This window comes from Homo sapiens, chromosome 8, assembly GCF_000001405.40.
Source record: "Homo sapiens chromosome 8, GRCh38.p14 Primary Assembly".
Lineage (NCBI taxonomy): Eukaryota > Metazoa > Chordata > Mammalia > Primates > Hominidae > Homo > Homo sapiens.
Genome location: NC_000008.11, coordinates 38,192,848 through 38,213,543, shown reverse-complemented (window position 1 = coordinate 38,213,543; position 20,696 = coordinate 38,192,848). Strand labels below are relative to the sequence as shown.

The following is a 20,696-nucleotide window of genomic DNA, read 5'->3' as shown; positions in this document are numbered from 1 at the left end:
ATCTACATTCTTCAAAATTTTTTTAACCTGCCTAGCTTTAATGGTATTATTTACATTAACCAACTGAAAAACTGTTTTCAGAACCCCATTTTTAAAAGCATTTAAAAGAATTCTGCACCAACATGTGGAGACACATATAATCCAACCCCTGTATACTTCATTAGGGCTTATTTGTTTAAACAGTTTCATTGGCATTCATACTTGGAACAACAGAGGGTTATTATAAAAAAAAAAAAACATAGTTGTGTTTATCATGCCAGGACTGGGTAACTTTATTCAAGACTTTGACAAAATGATCCCCAAAGTAATATAAATGTAGACACTTTAAAAAGTCCAGATGTGAAATTTCAAGAAAACTTTGAATTCAGTCCAAAGTCAGTATTAAGTCAAAAGTTGAACCAATTCTACAAATCATAAATACTATTTTCCTTCTTAAGTTCATATATTTTCTGAGATAGATTACCAACTTAGTTTTCTTTGATATTGGTATTTGGAATAATTTTAACATGATTTAACATCTTTAAGTTCTAAATCTATACTTATCCTGAATATCTTATTATAGTTAAAAATATAAATCCAGAACTGACAACTCTTCCTTACAGAAGAATTCCAATAATAAATGTAGAAGGATTGAGAGAAATAGAAAATCACCATTAGAACACCACAGTAGTAACTGCCACAAGCAAGATCTGCCAATGGATAGTAAAATGAGCAAAAGTTTAAGCAGAAACGGGACATTTGCATAGTCTCCGGGTATCTCCAGCAAATATTCAATAATTACAAGGAAAACACAGTAAGTTTACAGTAGCGAATCCTAGCAGACACCACCTTAGCATAGTGATCAAGGTTAACAACACCAGAAATACATTACAACATCAGGTATCCCCTGTTATGATACACTGTCACAGACTGGAAGACAGGACGTAGGCATGATAGCTAAATGCAAGGCTGGGTCTTGGAACAGTAAAAGGACATTAGTGAAAAGACTAAAATCTCTACTTTTTAAACTTTCTACTTTAGTTAGTATTATATCAAGGTTAATTTCTTAATTTTGACAAATGTTCTATTGTTACGTAAGATGTTAACATAAGGGCAAGGTGGGTGCAGAGTATACAAGAACTCTACTACTTTTACAACTCTTCTGTAAGTCTAAAATTATCTCAAAAGCTTAAAAAATAACTGTTAGAAAACAAACATGTATGTGCATAACATGTGTACATATATATAAATCAAGACTTCATGGAAATTGGCATCTTGGGCACTCAGTCAGTAAAAGAATAGTGTTCTCTTCTGAATTATTCATTGTCTTACTGGTAGCTTAGCTTTAAGGTCCTCCCCCTTCTAGACTTTTAATTTCAAGTATAAATTTCTAATTTTCATAGAAAAGCCTTTTTTAAACATTCCTATATTAGGCCAAAAATAAAATCCTAGAATAAAATTATCACCATATTATCTTATAAAATCACTCATCCCAATCATAAGACCCAGCCAGTATTTTTACTACATTTCCTCTCCTCATCTGTTTGTATTGGTTTGGTTTGGTTTATGAGTGGGGACAGCTAATAGATTTAGTATTTACTCATAGGCCTGACAGTCTAGGGGAAAAAAAATTATCACTTGGGTATCTTATGAAGAAACAGCTATTTTTCCAAGAACCAATATTGTGTACTCACCTCAGACATAAAAAGTTATTTACCTAAGTCTCTTCTATCTAACAGCATAGAGTTACCCAAACAAGGCCAATAAAGACCCTTTCAATATCCTTTTCTTAAATTTGGCTCTAAAATGACTGTTAATAATGGTAATAAATGTCTTTTTATTAAACAGACAATTTTATCTTATGCAATTTAGGGAAATAAACATAAAATCTACCTTTAAATGAAGAAAATAATAATTTCCCACTCTAACTATGGCTGATTCATTCCCTGAGCATGAATCCCATTTTACCCTCATTGTTTTTAACTATAAACTGAGCTGAAATCTGCTCACAGGTGAAACTAGTATTTTAGATGGAGAATGATATTACCAAGTAATCATATTTATTACTTTTTGTAGTAATTATTTCTACTCACTGTGGCATTTAATGTTTCATCTGTAACTCTCTATCACAATGCCCTCTATAGAAGCAGCAATAGTGAAAACATAACTACACTTTGGGGAAAAAAAAAAAAAACAGGAAAAAACAGATAACTTTTAAGTGGATCTTTATCCAAATACAATAAAAAAGCAAAAAAGAAAAGTGTCCGTAAACATTTTCATTTTATGTCAATGCCATTTCCAAATTTACCTTCCACTACTACCATGAACAGCAGAAGTGGTAAAAAAAAAAAAAAAAAAAAAAGAAGAAAAAAACTCTAACCTAATGATCTATAGAAAAAGGGAGACAATTTACTCACTACACATTGCAGTATATTCAAGTGGTGAAAAGATATAAATTTTTTCAGAACTGCCATACTATCTGGCTGTCAATATAGTCTCTTGAATAATTATATTAAACATATTACTACAAAATGTACCAAGAAGTAGAGAATAATACTATATTTGTAAACTGCAAATAACAAAACAAAACAGAAGTCCAAGAAGGCTAAAGTCTAAGCTATAATTACACATGAAGTATATGTTGAAAGCAGTCACAATGTACAAAAATGTGACAAGATATCCAGATGTTTAAAAAAACACATCCTGTTTGTCTCAGATTATATCCAGTTTCATCTGGTAGGTTTCTGATAAGCCTGTTGTGTGAAGTGTGTTTCCCTCCTGCTGGTAAGAAGCAGCTTGTAGATATCCATAAATTTTTTAAGGAGTGAGTCTACTTGGCAATATTGGTAACTCCATAGTTTCCTATTACATTCATTCGTCTGAAAACTGAAAACAACTCATGACTAAAATATTCTTCCATTCCTTTGCCAGTTTTTCAAGTATAAAATCAAAGGAAAGCTGGAATGTATTGCTTCTTGTCATCAACAGGCATTTCAAAAAGAGGGTAATTAACCAAATCAAGTGTTCTTTGGTCAAGTTAGTAACAGGCTTCCACTTTGTTCTAAATCCTTTCATAATCCTTTTTTTTCTAATTTTTCCAGTATGGCCTGAATCTTACAAACAGCCTCTTTTCTGGCCTGCCGTACAGAGTCCTGGCCCCCAGTTTCAACTGAATCCAGTTCCAAAAGTTCCTTGGTTAGCATTTCTTCCAGAAGCCAGTATGCTTTGTCTGTCTTTTTTCCTACAAATTCTTCTACTTCTTGTTCAAGATACTGGACCTTCTCCAGCACATGTATGATTTTTTTAATACTCGGAGGAGTACTTTCATCTGAAGGTACACATTCTTCAGGAAGACTGCTACTTTGATCTTGATTGTTGGGATGGTCACTGGTGGCATTACCATACAGCTGAGGCTCAGCACTATACTGGACTTGGGAATCCAAAAGATCTGAATCATCATTGTTCACTGTCCCCGAGGATTCGTACTGATGGACACTGCAAGGAAAGTTGTGCCGGTTCATGCTTTGATCTGATTGGCTATAGGGGTATGAAGAATCCTTGGAGTGGGAGAGCAAAAAGAGGAAAAGAGCTGTTTTAATGGGAATGCATCAACATCAAATTTGTTAGCCCACATCTTTCACTTGACCAGAAAGGTACATGAAAAGATTCCCTAACAATAAAATTGGACCCCTCTCCTTAATCATTTGCAAAAAAACACAGTCCTAAGAAGATAAAAGGGAGTGCCCTGTCAGACAAAAGGCACAGAATTTTTGAGTTATAATGGCTGGAACCTGCCCTGTGGCAGGTCCATCACCATGAGCACCTCATAGTCCATCCTGTGACCTAATTAATAAGAATTAGTTTTTCCCCTAAAAGGTTAAAAACCTCAAGCAAGGTCTTGAAAAGGAACACAGCCACAAGTGATAATGTTCAAGTCTGTGGTTTAAATACAAGCTCATGCTACAGATATTTCACATTGGTTTTGTCTTCTGTTCATAGATTATTTGAAGTAGTAAAATGCATCTTTGCATTTAACGTTTAGAAGAATTACAACAAACAGAAAATGTGTATCTTTCTGTCTTTTAACAAAAACGATGTGAATCTAAATCTTCTCTAAATATAAAGTCTATTAAAAAAAAGAAAAAGGAAACCGAGCTGAGGTAAAGCTATAGATAAGTAGTCACCAACTTTTTGTAATTAGTCCCCATTTAACACAAACCAGTACAGAAACTATATAAACCATGTTATGTTCTCCTAATTACACACACATTAAAGGAACAACATTTAGGTCTCCTACCTTGGGCTGCTGGACTGGGGGTGAAGGGGGTGACTGGGGAGAGCCACTGCTAGGCCATGGTGAAGTACTTTCAGTCATGTAGAGATTGCCGGGTGGTGCTGAGGGCGCTGATGAAGGCCAGGGATAACGGCCACCCATTCCATAAGCACCAGGAGAAGCCCACGCATCTTCTTGTGGTCGTACAGTCGGTCCTGATTGTGGAACACTACGATTACCATCTCCATAAGGATAATGGGGCAGGGTCATTCCAGGGTTCTAGATTGAGAAGAAGAAATATACCAGTCATTGTGAAAAACTTATAATAAAAATATTCTGCTACAGGCAGATTCTGAGATGCTTCCTCTCTTCTTAACAGAGTATACATTAGCTGCTACCGGACTAAACTGTAGTAAATCTAATTAATCAGCTGCAGTAATTTCTCCAAGCCTCAAAAAGTTGGTTCCAAAGATACCAGGGGTAGATTTAATGACAATAAAACTCAGAAGGAATAAGGCCTAAAAATTCAATGGATGAAACCCAAGTCTGTCCCATAGATACTATAAACAAACGGACCCATATGCTATAAGGAAGCACAAATAAAGACATGTTAGAACTCCTCTTGAAGTGAACAGAGAAATAAACATAGTTATTCACAGAATATTAAAAAAACATGAACCTGGCCAGGCGCGGTGGCTCACGCCTGTAATCCCAGCACTTTGGGAGGCTGAGATGGGCGGATCACGAGGTCAGGAGATCGAGACCATCCTGGCTAACAAGGTGAAACCCCATCTCTACTAAAAATACAAAAAAAATTAGCTGGGCGCGGTGGCGGGCGCTTGTAGTCCCAGCTACTCGGGAGGCTGAGGCCGGAGAATGGCATGAACCCAGGAGGTGGAGCTTGCAGTGAGCCTAGACCGTGCCACTGCACTCCAGCCTGGGCGACAGAGCGAGACTCCGTCTCAAAAAAAAAAAAAAAAAAAAGAACCTAACAGGGTGCTAAAAAAGGCTAAGATTTGCCTGGCACGGTGGCTCATGCCTGTAATCCCAGCACTTTGGGAGGCCGAGGGGGGCAGATCACGAGGTCAGGAGATCAAGACCATCCTGGCCAACATGGTGAAACCCCATCTCTACTAAAAATACAAAAATGAGCTGGGCGTGATGGCGCGTGCTTGTAATCCCAGCTACTTGGGAGGCTGAGGCAGAAGAATTGCTTGAACCCAGGAGGTAGAGGTTGCAGTGAGCCAAGATCACGCCACAAAAAAAAAAAAAAGGCTAAGATAGGGAAACTTTCAAGCAGCAACTCTCTAAAGATTACTTTCAGTATAAAAATTTATGATTATGACCTTCAGCCAAAGTCCATTTACTGCAATAGCTGCCACAAATAAGAAAGGCATCAATATAAAAGCCTTCCCAATCTAGAAGTGTCTTATTAAATCAGCACTAGTATGAACAGATGCTCTTCCACTGTTTACAAGAGGCAGAGACTTTGAATTCATTTTTTTCCCAATAGAAAACAACTCACCTGTGAAGGCGGATATCCTGGAACCTGCCCCCTAAGAGGGGGTGCTTCAGTCTGACAGTCCTGCTGGGGATAGATCCAACGAGAGACTGGAGTTGGGCTGTTGCCAGATGAACGGTAAGTACTTGGAACTTCTGTGGAGTAACTGGTCTGAGTATAACCAGGTGCATAATAAGCCCCTGAGTATGAGGCAGTATTTGCCCCAGGGCCTGGGGGGTATGTTGGACCATACGCTCCATTTGTATAAGAATTCAAACTCTGAAAAAAACCAAGTTGAGTGAAAAAAAGATGAATTAGTAGAAGAGCTGAAATGCCCTGACTTAATGCCTAAACTTGAAAACTTTGAGAAGATGTTAATCACTAATGCAGGCCAGGCACAGTGGCTCATGCCTGTAATCCCAGCACTTTGGGAGCCCAAGGTGGGAGAATCATTTGAGGTCAGGAGTTTGAGACCAGCCTGGACAACATAGTGAGACCCTGTTTCTACAAAAATAAAATAAAATAATTAGCCAGGCATTGCCAGGCACAGTGGCTCAAGCCTGTAATCCTAGCACTTTGGGAGGCCGAGGCGGGTGGGTCACCTGAGGTCAGGAGTTCTAGACCAGCCTGGCCAAAATGGTGAAACCCCATCTCTACTAAAAATACAAAAATTAACCGGGCATGGTGGCAGGCGCCTGTAATCCCAGCTACTCGGGGGGCTGACGCAGGAGAATCGCTTGAACCCAGGAGGCGGAGGTTGCAGTGAGCCAAGATCGTGCCATCGCACTCCAGCCTGGGGGACAAGAGTAAGACTTCATCTCAAAAAAAAAAAAAAAAAAAAAATTATCTAGGCCTCATGGCACACATCTGTAGTCCAAGCTACTCAGGAGGCTGAGGTGAGAGGATTGCTTGAGCCCAGGAGGTCAAGGCTGCAGTGAGTCATGGTTGTACCACTGCACTCCAGCCTGGGCAACAGAGTGAGACTCTGTCTCAGAAAGTATAAGAAAACAAAAAAATTATTTAAAAAGACTATAGAGACAGACCTAGCTCTGCCATAGGCTTTGTATTTAACCTTCCCTAACTTCAGTTTCTCCATCAGGAAAATGAAGATCATAAACGTATCTTTGAGGATTACTGTCAAAATTAAATAAGATGACATATATAAAAGGTTTAGCATAGTGTCTGGCATATAGTATGCTCAATAAATGGTAATTATTTGTATTATGACTGTTGTTAGTATTATCATGGCTGGGTCATGACATGAACCCAGATCTGACTCTGAAGTCCAGTTCTTTGTATTACACCATCACTCTGCATCCCAAATGATACCAACAACAAACTCCTCATATATTGCTCACTGTAGTTTTAAATAACCTATTCAGACTCTTATCCACACCCAGAATCCTCAGTTTAATAATCCAAACAAGATTCAAGCTAGGCAGGCGCACAGGCTCATGCCTGTAATCCCAGCACTTTGGGAGGCTGAGAAGGGAGGATCACTTTTTTTTTTTTTTTTAAGATGGAGTCTTGCTCTGTCACCCAGGCTGGAGTGCAGTAGCAAGATCTTGGCTCACTGCAACCTCCACCCCCCAGATTCAAGCGATTCTCCTGCCTCAGCCTCCCAAGTAGCTGGGATTACAGGCATGCTATAATTTTTGTACTTTTAGTAGAGATGGGATTTCACCATCTTGGCCAGGCTGGTCTCGAACTCCTGACCTCATATCCACCCGCCTCAGCCTCCCAAAGTGCTGGGATTACAGGCATGAGCTACTGCATCCAGCCTAGGAGGGAGGATCACTTGAGCTCAGGAGTTACAGACCAGCCTCAGGAATATAGTCAAACCCCATCTATTTAAAAAAAAAAAAAAAAGTAATTTTTAAAAAAAGATTCAAGCTTAATGCTAAATTTAAATGATCACCTCAACGTGTTCTATTAATTTCTACTTTACCCTTTAAAAACAGTGAAAACACAGAATCCAGTTTTCCTATACTCATCTCTATCTCGAAGACTATATAATCTTTCCCACTTTAGGTATGAGGATACCCATGACCAAAGAATTCCATGCAGGATGAGGTATAATAAACAGTCAGCAATGCATTCCCTGAGCAGAAGACCATGAACCACCACTATGTTAAAACTACTAAGAGGCTGTTAAGGTCTTCGGGCATAAACAAAGAACTCCGTAATACATCACACACACAATTGGAGACTTAATAAAACATTATGTGACTTTTTGTACTGTTATTCAACTTCTAGAAATCCTAAGGAAATGATTCAACTAGAGAAAAAGTTATAGACATGAAGTTCTTCATCGCAGCATTATTTACAATCACACAAAATTGTAAACTACCTAAATGTCCTATAACAATGGAATCTTTAAGTAGATTAAAGACTATTCATTGAAAAAATTGTATTCAGTCTTCAAATTTTATTGTTATGGCTAGGCGCACAGACTCATGCCTGTAAAAATCCCAGCGTTTTGGGAAGCCAAGGTGGGAGGATTGCTTGAGCCCAGGAGTCTGAGAACAGCCTGTGCAAACAGCAAGACCTCATCTCTACAAAAAAAAAAAAAAAAAAAAAAAAAAAAATTAATTAGCTGGGCGTGGTATGGCACAGCTATAGTCCTTAGCTACACAGGAGGCTGAGGCAGGAGGATCGTTTGAGCCTAGGAGTTCAATGTTACAGTGAGCTATAATCAAGCCACTGTTCTCTAGCCTGGGTGACAGTAAGACCCTGTCTTCAACTAGCTAACTAACTAAATAAATATTTTACTGTTAGAACTGACCAGATATTTAATGATATGAAATAATTATTTTTAAGGTTGTTTTTTTCCTTTTAAGTTTTAATTTTTAATTAAAAATGTTTAAAAACATTGTGGTTATGTTTTTAAAACTTCCTTATATTTTAAAGAAACATACTTAGGTATTTATAAGTGATAAAATGATATCTGAAATTGCTTCAAAATACTCCAAGGAAATACTCCAAGAATAAATACACGACGGCCATGTACTGATAACCCATTGAAACCAATAGATGGGTTCATGTTACTTTAGTGTGTGATTCTCATTGCTTTTATGTGGCTTTTGTTGTTTATTTTTTTTCTTTTTCCCTTCTCACAGGCGTTGTTTTTGTTTTTTTTTTCGTTGTTGTTGTTTTTCTTTAAATAGAAATGAGGTCACGCTATGTTGCCAGGCTAGTCTCAAACTTTTAGGCTGAAGTGATCCTGGCACCTCAGCCTCCCAAAGTGCTGGGATTATACCATGCCTGGCCATTACTTTTTTTCTCCCCAAGACACCCAGGGTAGAATGCAGTGGCACAATCACGGCTCACTGCAGCCTCAAACTCCGGGCTCAAGCAATCCTCCCACCTTAGCATCCTAAGTAACTGGGACCACAGGCATGCACCACCATGCCTGGCTAATTTTTGTATTTTTTGTAGAGACAGGGTTTGGCCATGTTGCCCAGGCTGATCTCGAACTCCTGGGCTCAAGCAATCCACTCGCCTCAGCTTCCCAAAGTGCTGGGATTACAGGTGTGAGCCACCACATCTGGCCAGCCATTACTTTTGATGCTTGAAAATTTCCTTGATTCCTGGAATTACTTCCTGGTTTTGAGATGCCTTCATGAGTTCATTGCTTCTTTTCCCAAATAACCACTGTCCTGACAGATCACAAAGCTGTCACATGCATGTTTACAAAAGAACACAGAATCAGATTATATAACAGCCTTGCAGTTGCTAAAGATGTTTGTTAAGGATGAGCTAAAGATCCTATTTCAGAAACGTGGCAAAGTTTTTAAGTCTTTGTCTGAAAAGCAGCTTGTGTGAAAGTTGCCAATGCCAAGATGGAGTCACTTACATCAGACCCAAAATGGAGGGGGAGGTCACGAAGGAGGGGATCTCATGCACACATGTCTGCGATAAGTATTATCACAAGGACTTTTTTTTTTTTTTTTTTTGAGACAGGGTCTCACTCTGTCACCCAGGCTAGAGTACAGTGGCACCATCATAGCTCACTGCAGCCTAGATCTCCCAGGCTCAAGTTATCCTCCTGCCTCAGCCTCCCAAGTAGCTTGGACTACAGGTATGAGCCACTGCACCCAGCCTATATCACAGGGCTTTCTAAAAACTCACAAAAAATCCCTGTAGGCCCTACTCATCTTGCTTGTCCTACATATGTCTGTAACAGGACTTATCACAAAAAATTCCTCAACCAGGCACGGTGGCTCACACCTGTAATCTGAGCACTTTGGGAGGCCAAGGTGGGCGGATCACGAGGTCAGGAGATCGAGACCATCCTGGCTAACACGGTGAAACCCTGTCTCTACTAAAAATACAAAAAAATTAGCTGGGCGTGGTGGCAGGCGACTGTAGTCCCAGCTACTCAGGAGGCTGAGGCAGGAGAATGGCGTGAACTCGGGAGGCGGAGCTTGCAGTGAGCCAAGATCGTGCCATGGCACTCCAGCCTGGGCGACAGAGTGAAACTCTGTCCAAAAAAAGAAAAAAAAAAAATTCCTCAAGACTGCAGTTTCACATAAGCCATCTTCATAAGAACACTCGCTTAGCAATGAGTTTCCAGTAACATCAGCTCCTACAACAGGCCCCTGTGACCAATGATGTTTGTCTCAAAACAGCTTATATGGACTTCTCCTCTTTCCCTTTAAAAGTTTCCCCTTACTACAACTTCTCCAGATATGTAGGGGATGATTATCTATGGTATGCGCATCTGAAATTGTAATTCTCTGTTTATTTCCAAACAGATTCATTTCTTTGAAGAGTCCTTCTCTCTGTTGTTATTTTAGGTTGACACTTGGAGCACAGCAAAGAAAATACAGGAGTTCCTTGCACCATTTAGAGTCATAAGACGGAATCCAAAAAGGAAGAAAATGCTTCTAGGACTTCAGAACAGATTTCTGTTACATATTAAAGTATGTCATAAAAATGAAGGACTTGGCCAGGCGTGGTAGCTCATTCTTGTAATTCTAGCACTTTGGGAGACCAAGGCAGGTGGATCGCTTGAGGTCAGGAGTTCCAGACCAGCCTGGGCAACAAAGTGAGACCCCATCTCTACAAAAAATACAAAAATTAGCCAGGTGTAGTGGCGTATGCCTAAGGTCCCAGCCACTCAAGCAGTTAAGGTGGGAGGATCACCTGAGCCAGAGGAGATTGAGGCTGCAGTGAGCTGTGATCATGCCATTGCACTCCAGCCTGAGAAACAGAAAAAAAAAAAAAAAGGGGGCCGAGCACAGTGGCTCATGCCTGTAATCCTAGCACTTTGGAAGGCCAAGGCAGGTGGACTGCTTAAACTCAAAGAGTTTAAGATAAGCGGGGGCAACCCCCTCTCTACAAAAAATACAAAAATTAGCTGGGAATGGTGGCATGTGCCTGTAGTCCCAGCTACTCAGGAGGCTGCAGTGGGAGGATCGCTTGAGCCCAGGAGGTGGAGGTTGCAGTAAGCCAATATCATACCACTGTACTCCAGCCTGGGTGACAGAGGGAGACCTGGTCTCAAAAAAAGAAAGAAAAGAAAAGGAAAAAGAAGGACTTAAGAACAAAGCAGAAGCAACTCAACCGAGTTTGAATAATACTGAGAAAACCTCACGAACTTTATTAACAGTTGGGTGAGACAATATCTTCTGCTTCCAGAGATACAGCCTGAGATTGTGAACTTCCGTGCTGTTCACACCCTACTCCATGAATCGCCCTCCATGCTCCTCTCAAGAGTCCACACTATTAGTTAAAGAATGAAGTTCTGAAAAATGAGGAAGGCTTTAGTTCAAATGCTGCCCTAATACTTGCATAGCACATAAACTGCACCTGGCACATGGCAGGCTAATCAACTTGGAAGATTGGTCAGACACCTTAGCAACATTAACAGCTTCTTAAAAAAAAAAAAAAAAAAAAAAAAAAAAATATATATATATATATATATATATATATATATATATATATATATATAAATTCCACACTCAGAATAAATGCATGAAATTACATATTCTTGGCTTATTATAGCTACTTTTGAATGAGAATTTTTAAGATTTATAAAACCAACCAAACAGAAGAATGACCATGTGGCAAGGCTAACCCAAGGAGGTAGCCGGAAGGTAAAGACATGATACTGCTTAATTTTTTAAAAAGGAAACCAGTCATATCTATATACCACTATAGGAGTCTATCTTGGATAGAAGCTAGACCAAGTGCAATGGCTCACGCCTGTAATCCCAACACTTTGGGATGCTGAGGTAGAAGGATCACCTGAGCCCAGGAGTTCAAGACCAGCCTAGGCAACATAATGAGACCCCATCTCTGCAAAATATTTAAAAATTAAACCAGGTGTGGTTGCACGCACCTGTACCTAGGACACTGAGACAGGAGGATCACTTAAGTCCAGGAGTTCAAGGTTACAGTGATCTATGATTATGCCACTACAATGAACTGGGTGGTAGAGCAAGACTATCTATCTCAAGAAACAAACAAAAAAAAGATGATGATAAATGTATAATCCCCATGTGATGTTTCGCCAGAAAATACACATGTGCTCACCTCAAAAAGGTGTATGTCTAGACACCTTTGGGTTATTTTAAATCCAACAACTTGTATGTTGTATCTAAAAACATTTGCACATTATTACTGTTGCTTTTAAAAAGTTACTACTAAATTATAAGTTAATCTTTTTTGAACCTACATATGAATGTAATAAATACTTTTACCTAAGGGGGAAAATGTTATGAGAAAAAGCAATCTTTATCAGTAAGATCAGTGAAATCAGAAAAATTAACATTAACTTATAATTCATGACTATGAGTTTTGTCTCCCTCTTACATTAACTATAAAAGTACACATGCTACTCTCCAAACTGATCTATGATGCAATCTCAATAAAAATCTCAGCTGCCTGGCCAGGCATGGTGGCTCATGCCTGTAATCCCAGCACTTTGGGAGGCCAAGGCAAGCGGATCACCTGAGGTCCGGAGTTCGAGACCAGCCTGACCAACATGGAGAAACCCCATCTGTACTAAAAATACAAAATTAGCCGGGCGTGGTGGCGCATGCCTGTAATCCCAGCTACTCCAGAGGCTGAGACAGGAGAATGGCTTGAACTCGGGAGGTGGAGGTTGCTGTGAGCCAAGATCGTGCCATTGCACTCCAGCCTAGGCAACAAGAGCAAAACTCCAGCTCAAAAAAAAAAAGAAAAAAAGAAAATCTCAGCTGCCTTTTTTACATAAGTTGAAAAGCTGATCCTAAAATTCATATGAAAATGTAAGCAACCCAGAATAGCCGAAACCATATGGAAGAAGAAAAAGAAAAAAGAGAGAGAGAGTCCATCTCTTTGGAGAGACTCATACTTCCTGATTTCAAATTTTACTTCAGAGCCACAGTAATCAAAACAGTTTGGTATTGGCTTAAGGAAGACATATAGATTAATGGGACAGAATTGAGAGTCTGGAAATAAACCCTTACATTTATGATTTTTAGGAAGGGTACCCAGGCTGGGCACGGTGGCTCATGCCTGTAATTCCAGCACTTTGGGAGGCCGAGGCAGGTGGATCACTAGAGGTCAGGCGATCCAGATCAGCCTGTGCAACATGGTAAAACCCTGTCTCTACTAACAATACAAAAAAAATTAGCCCGGCATGGTGGCAGCCGCCTGTAATCCTAGCTACTCGGGAGGCTGAGGCAAGAATCACTTGAACCTGGGAAGCAGAGGTTTCAGTGAGCAGAGATTGCACCACTACACTCCATCCTGGGCGACAGAACAAGACTCTGTTTCAAAAAAAAAAAAAAGGGGGTACCAAGATAATTCAGTGGAAAAAACATAGTCTTTCAACAGATGATACTGAGACATAACTATCCACATGTAAAGCAGTGAACTTGGGCCTTACTTTGCACCATATTGCAAAAATTAACTCAAAATGAATCATAGACCTAAATGTGAGAGCTAAAACTATAAAAAAATTCTGAGAAGAAATCGGGCTGGGCGCAGTGGCTCACGTCTGTAATCCCAGCACTTTGGGAAGCTGAGGCAGGTGGACCACGAGGTCAGGAGGTCAAGACCATCCTGACTAACATGGTGAAACCCTGTCTCTACTAAATAAACAAAAAATTAGCCAGGTGTGGTGGCGGGCACCTTTATTCCCAGCTACTTGGGAGGCTGAGGCAGGAGAATCACTTTAACCTGGGATGTGGAGCTTGTAGTGAGCCAAGATTGTGCCACTGCACTCCAGCCTGGGCGACAGAGCGAGACTCTGCCTCAAAAAAAAAAAAAAAGAAATCACAGGAGTGAATCTTTATGATCTTTGGTTAGTCAAAGTCTTCTTGGATAAGACATCAAAAGCAGGAGCAACAAAATAAAAAACAAAAAAATTGCACTTGATCAAAATTAAAAGCTTTTGTGTTTCAAAGGACACCATCAAGAGTGTGAAAAGCCAACCCACAGAATGGAAGAAACTATTTGCAAATCATATACAGTCATGCACTGCATAACTATGTTTCAGTCAGCAGTGGACTGCATACATAACAGTGGTCCCATAGGATTATAATGGAGCCAAATAATTGTATTGCCTTGCAACAGTGTAGCTGTCATATGGATAGCACAATGCATTACTCACCTGTTTATGGTGACGCTGGTGTAAACAAACTTGCTGTGTGCCAGTTGTATATAACACATACAATTATATGTAATACATAATACTTGATGATGATAATTGACTATGTTACTGGTTTATGTATTTACTACATACGACATTTGTTATCATTATCTTAGCATGTACTCCTTCTACTTGTACATTTTTTAAAGGTTAACCGGAAAACAGCCACAAGGAGGTCCTTTGGGAGGTATTCCAGAACCAGGCATTTATCATAGGAGATGACAGTTCCCACCTGTCTTATTGCCCCAAGATGAGGAGGTGAAAGACAGTGATACTGATGATCCTGACCCTAGGTTGGCCTATGCTAATGTATGTTTGCGTCTCCCTTTTTAACACAAACAGTTTTAAAAATACAAAAACAGCCACGCATGGTGGCTCACGCCTTTAATCCCAGCACTTTGGGAGGCCAAGGAGGGCAGATCACCAGGTTGGGAGATCGAGACCATCCTGGCTAACACGGTGAAACCCATCTCCACTAAAAATACAAAAAATTAGCCGGGCGTGGTGGTGGGCGCCTGTAGTCCCAGCTACTCAGGAGGCTGAGGCAGGAGAATTGCTTGAACCTGGGAGGCGGAGGTCGCAGTAAGCCGAGATCGCACCACTGCACTGCAGCCTGGGCGACAGAGTGAAACTCCATCTCAAAAAAAAAAAACAAAAAACAAACAAAAAACAAAAAAACCTTAAAAACAGGAAAAAGCTTAATAGAATAAGGATATAAAGAAATTAAAAAAAAAAAGAAAGAAAACTTTTTTTTTTTTTTTTGAGATGGGAGTCTCGCTCTGTTGCCCAGGCTGGAGTGCAGTGGCGTGATCTCGGTTCATTGCAAGCTCCGCCTCCCGGATTCACACCATTCTCCTGCCTCAGCCTCCCGAGTAGCTGGAATTACAGGCGACTGCCACCTCGCCCGGCTAATTTTTTGTATTTTTAGCAGAGACGGGGTTTCACCATATTAGCCAGGATGGTCTCGATTTCCTGACCTCGTGATCTGCCCGCCTTGGCCTCCCAAATTGCTAGGATTACAGGAGTGAGCCACCGCGCCCGGCCCCAAGGAAACATTTTTGTACAGCTGTACAGTATGTTTGTATTTTAAGCTAAGTATTACTATAAAAGAGTCAAAGCTTTTTAAAATTTAAAAGTTTATAAGGCCAGGTGCAGTGGCTCACTCAGGCCTATAATCCCGGCACTTTGGGAGGCTGAGGTGGACAGATCACCTGAGGTCAGGAGTTCAAGACCAGCCTGGCCAACATGATGAAACCCTGCCTCTACTAAAAACACAAAAATTAGCCAGGTGTGGTGGCACACGCCTGTAGTCCCAGCTACTAGGGAGGCTGAGGTGGCAGGATCGCTTGAACCCAGGAGATGGAGGTTGCAGAGAGCCGAGATCACGCCACTGCACCCCAGTCTGGGGGACAGAGTGAGACCCTGTCTCAAAAAAATAACTTAAAATAAAATAAAGTTTATAAAGTAAAAAAGTTACAGTATTTATTGAAGAAAGAATTGTTATACAAATTTATGGTAAACTAAGTGTACAATGCTTATAAAGCCTACAATAGTGCACAGTAATATCCTAGACCTTCACATTCACTCACCACTCACTCACTGACTCACCCAGAGTAACTTCCAGTCCTGCAAGTTCCATTCATGGCAAATGCCCTGTACAAGTGTGATATAATATTTTGTTATCTTTTATCTGTATTTTTACTGTATCTTTTCTATATTTAGATGTGTTTAGATACACCAGTACTAACCATGGTGTTACAATTGCTTACAGTATTCAGTACAGTAACATGCTGTACAGGTTTGTAGCCTAGAAGCCATAGGCTATACCATATAGCCTAGGTATATAGTAAGCTGTACCATCTAGACTTGTGAAAGTACACTCTATGATGTTTGCACAATGACAAAATTGCCTCTTGATGCATTTCTGAGAAAATATCCCCATTATTAAGCAATGAATGACTACATTTGATAAGAAACTTGTATCTAGAATGTATAAAGAATGCTTAAAACTCAACAATAAAAAGACAACCCAATTTTAAAATGGTCAAGGAATCTTTTCTTTTTTGAGACAGAGTCTTGCTCTGTCACGCAGACTGGAGTGCAATGGCGTGATCTCATCTCGGCTCACTGTAACCTCTGCCTCCTGGGTTCAAGCAATTCTCCTGCCTCAGCCTCCCAAGTAGCTGGGATTACAAGCGCCTGCCACCACGCCCAGCTAATTTTTGTATTTTTAGTAGTGAAGGGGTTTCACCATGTTGGCCAGGCTGGTCTCAAACTCCATACCTCAAGTGATCTGCCCACCTTGGCCTCCCAAAGTGCTGGGATTACAGGTGTGAGCCACCGCACCAGGCCCAAAGAATCTAAATAGACATTTCTCCAAACAAGATATACAAATGGCTAATAAGCACACTAAAAGATGCTCAAATCATTAGTCATCAGAGAACTGCAAATCAAAACCACTTTGCACCCACTAAGATGGCTATAATTTTTTTTTTTGAGACAGAGTCTCGCTCTGTTGCCCAGGCTGCAGTGCAGTGGCACAATCTCAGCTCACTGCAAGCTGCCTCCTGGGTTCATGCCATTCTCCTGCCTCAGCCTCCCAAGTAGCTGGGACTACAGGTGCCCGCCACCACGCCCGGCTAATTTTTTGCATTTTTAGTAGAGATGGGATTTTACCATGTTAGCCAGGATGGTCTCAATCTCCTGACCTCGTGATCTGCCTGCCTCGGCCTCCCAAAGTGCTGGGATTACAGGCGTGAGCCACCGCGCCCGGCCTATAATAATTTTTTTAAAGGAAAATAAGTATTGGTAAGGATGTGGAGAAATCAGAGCCCTCATACATTGCTGATGGGACTATAAAATGGTGCAATCCCTTTGGAAAACCGTTTGCTAGTTCCTCAAATTGATACATATAGGGTTACTCTATGACCAAGCAATTCCATTTCTAGGTATAGACCCAAGATAAATAAAAACATATTTCCACATAAAAATTTGTACATGAAGGTTGTAGCAGCATCATTTATAAAAGACAAAAACGAAAGACAACCCAAATATCTATCAATTGATGAAATTTGGTATATCCTGAGAACATGGAGAAGTTTGAAAACATTACACAGTGACAGAAGCCAGAAACAAAATGCCACATACTGTATGATTCCATACAAAATGTCTGGTTAGAAAAATCCTGAGAGATAAAAAAGTAGATTACAGGTTGCCAAGAGCTGAGGGGAGGGAGTAATGACATTTCAAGTTCAGGGTTTCTATTCGGGGTGATGACAGTGTTCCAGAATTAGACAGTGATAATGGGTAAACTTTGTGAATATACTAAAAACCAAATGAATTGTACACTTTGAAGGGTGGATTTTATAGTATGTGGCCAAACCACAACTATGTAACATTTAGCAATAACAATGTCTACTTCTCAATTTCAGTCACAGGGATGAGGCTGACACAAGTAAAATGAAAGTTTGTGGTAAGTACTAACATGATCTTTATTTTACATTCCATTATCTCTGATCAACCTCATCCTTAAGTTCATATATACATGATTATTATAGGCCAGGCACAAGGGCTCACACCTGTAATCCCAGTGCTTTGAGAGGCCAATTTGGGAGGATAGCTTGAGGCTAGGGGTTTGAAACCAGCCTAGGCAACACAGCAAGACCCTGTCTCTACAAAAAAAGCAAACAAATTAGCAAGGCATGGTGATGTACACTTTTAGTCCTAGCTACTCAGGAGGCTGAAGTGGGAGGATCTCTTGAGCCCAGGATTGGGAGACCAGCTTGGGTAACATGGCGAAACCCTAACTCTACAGAACAAATTTTAAAAATTAGCTGGGCATAGTAATGTGCACCCATGGTCCCAGCTACTCAGGAGGCTGAAGTGGGAAGATCACTTGAAGCCAGGAGGTCGAGGATGCAGTGAGCTGTCATCATGCCACCATACTCCAGCCTGGGCTACAGAGCAAGACCCTGTCTCAAAAAAACAAACAAAAGCCAGGTGCAGTGGCTCACGCCTGTAATCCCAGCACTTTGGGAGGCCGAGACGGGTGGATCACGAGGTCAGGAGATCAAGACCATCCTGGCTAACACAGTGAAACCCTGTCTCTACTAGAAATACAAAAAATTAGCTGGGCGTGGTGGCGGGCGCCTGTAGTCCCAGCTACTCGGGAGGCTGAGGCAGCAGAATGGCGTGAACCCGGGAGGCAGAGCTTGCAGTGAGCCGAGGTCGCGCCACTGCACTCCAGCCTGGGCAACAGAGCGAGACTCGGCCAAAAAAAAAAACAAAAAAAAAAAAAAACAAAAAAAAACACCCCAGTAATATGGCTAGATAAAAAAATATAATGGAAATATGCAAATATGACAATTACTCCTTTGTTAGTACAACCATTTTGAAAAGTAATTTGGCTGTATCTAATAAAAATGTACACACCTGGCCAGGCATGGTGGCTCATGCCTGTAATCCCAGCACTTTGGGAGGCCAAGGTGGGCGGACCACGAGGTCAGGAGTTCGAGACCAGCCTGGCCAACACGGTGAAACCCCATCTCTATTAAAAATACAAAAATTAGCCGGGCATGGTGGCAGACACCTGTAATCCCAGCTACTCGGGAGGCTGAGGCGGAGAATCATTTGAACCTGAGAGGCGGAGGTTGCAATGAGCTGAGATCGCGCTATTGCACTCCAGCCTGGGTGACAGGGTGAGACTCTATCTCAAAAAAAAAAAAAAAAAAAAAAAAAGTACACACCTAAACCCAAAAATTCCAGACCCTAAGGAAATTCTTATCTCGTATTTATATAACAGAAAGATGAAAACCAACGATGAGCAAAAGAAGCAAGCTGCAGGAGTGTGTTTGTTAGTATGAAATCACACATCTCAAGTTTAAAAACATGTAAAATAAAAGTATATAAAGTTTATGGATACACAGGCAAGTAGTAAAGGCACAAAAACACAAATGGGGTAATAAATATAACTTCAGGCCGAGCACGATGGCTCATGCTTGTAAACCCAGCACTTTGGGAGGCCAAGGTGGGCGGATCACCTGAGGTCAGGAGTTTGAGACCAGCCTGGCCAACATGGTGAAACCCCATCTCTACTAAAAATCCAAAAACTGGCCGGGCGTGGTGGCTCACGCCTATAATCCCAGCACTTTGAAAGGCCGAGGCAGGCAGATCACCAGGTCAAGAGATTGAGACCATACTGGCCAACATGGTGAAACCCCATCTCTACTAAAAATACAAAAATTAGCTAGGTGTGGTGGCACATGCCTGTAGTCCCAGCTACTTGGGAGGCTGAAGCAGGAGAATCACTTGAACCCAGGAGGCGGAGGCTGCAATGAGCCAAGATCATGCCACTGCACTCCAGCCTGGCGACAGAGCAAGACTCCATCTCAAAAAAAAAAAAAAAAATCAAAAAATTAGCTGGGTATGGTGGTGTGTGCCTGTAGTCCCAGCTACTCAGGAGGCTGAGGCAGGAGAATCACTTGAACCTGTGAGGAGGAGGGTGCAGTGAGCTGAGATCATACCACTGCACTCCAGCCTGGGCAACAGAAAATGACCCTGTTTCAAATAAATAAATAAATAAAATTTCAGTAAATGAAAAGAAGTGTCATTGGGCTTCAATTGTATTTGGTTTACTTCTTTCTTAAAAATCTGAAACAAATGTGGCAAACAGAAATTGACAAATCTGCATGCTAGATTTTCGTGGGGTTTTTTTGTTTGTTTTTTGTTTTGAGACGGAGTCTCACTCGTCGCCCAGGCTGGAGTGTAATGGTGTGATCTCAGCTCACTGCAACCTCCGCCTCCTGGGTTCAGGCGGTTCTCCTGCCTCAGCCTCCCGAGTAGCTGGGAGTACAGGCGCCCACCACCACACCCAGCTAATTTTTGTATTTTTAGTAGAGATGGAGTTTCACCATGTTGGCCAGGCTGGTCTTGAACTCCTAACCTCAGGTGATCTGCCTGCCTTGGTCTCCCAAAGTGCTGGGATTACAGCTGTGAGCCACTGCACCCAGCCCTGCATGCTAGATTTAAAATGTATATATTTTCTGTACTTTTTATAATTTTAAAATATTTTAAATTAAATGTCTGTAATCAGTAAAGTTTTCAAAAATAAGTATATTTTATGTTTGTTCCTTCTGGGTCCTGGAAAATAATTTATTATGCCTCAAGCTATAGGTATATTTGCCTAGATATTTCCTTATCTCTGAGCTAAAAACATTAAGATGAGATTGATGGAGCCCATTAAAGCAAAGAAAAAAAACACACACTCATCACTGCTCTAAAATCTGCACAGGTTTTGAAAA

At 40.8% G+C, this 20,696-nt stretch overlaps 1 protein-coding gene across 2 annotated transcripts in view, besides 2 other annotated features; it reads right to left on the bottom strand.

The window, feature by feature from the left end:
* Window positions 1-242: 242 nt before the first annotated feature.
* Window positions 243-20,696, bottom strand: part of BAG4 (BAG cochaperone 4) — a 36,447-nt gene continuing 15,993 nt past the window's right edge. For both annotated transcript variants that reach the window (NM_004874.4, NM_001204878.2), the window contains 3 exons: window positions 5,778-6,032; window positions 4,277-4,531; window positions 243-3,536 (listed from right to left, as the gene is read on the bottom strand). In NM_004874.4, the coding sequence (NP_004865.1) occupies window positions 3,051-3,536; window positions 4,277-4,531; window positions 5,778-6,032 (996 nt within the window). In that variant the 3' untranslated portion in view covers window positions 243-3,050. The remainder of the gene's footprint in view (window positions 3,537-4,276; window positions 4,532-5,777; window positions 6,033-20,696) is intronic.
* Window positions 2,539-2,833: a silencer, noted in NCBI's record as "tiled region #4585; HepG2 Repressive non-DNase unmatched - State 15:Elon". NCBI's record gives its function as "represses a minimal TATA promoter and a strong SV40 promoter by Sharpr-MPRA in HepG2 cells {active_cell/tissue: HepG2}" and the evidence as "EXISTENCE:reporter gene assay evidence [ECO:0000049][PMID:27701403]".
* Window positions 17,884-18,073: an enhancer, noted in NCBI's record as "active region_27246". NCBI's record gives its function as "activates an Ori minimal core promoter by ATAC-STARR-seq in GM12878 lymphoblastoid cells {active_cell/tissue: GM12878}" and the evidence as "EXISTENCE:reporter gene assay evidence [ECO:0000049][PMID:35858748]".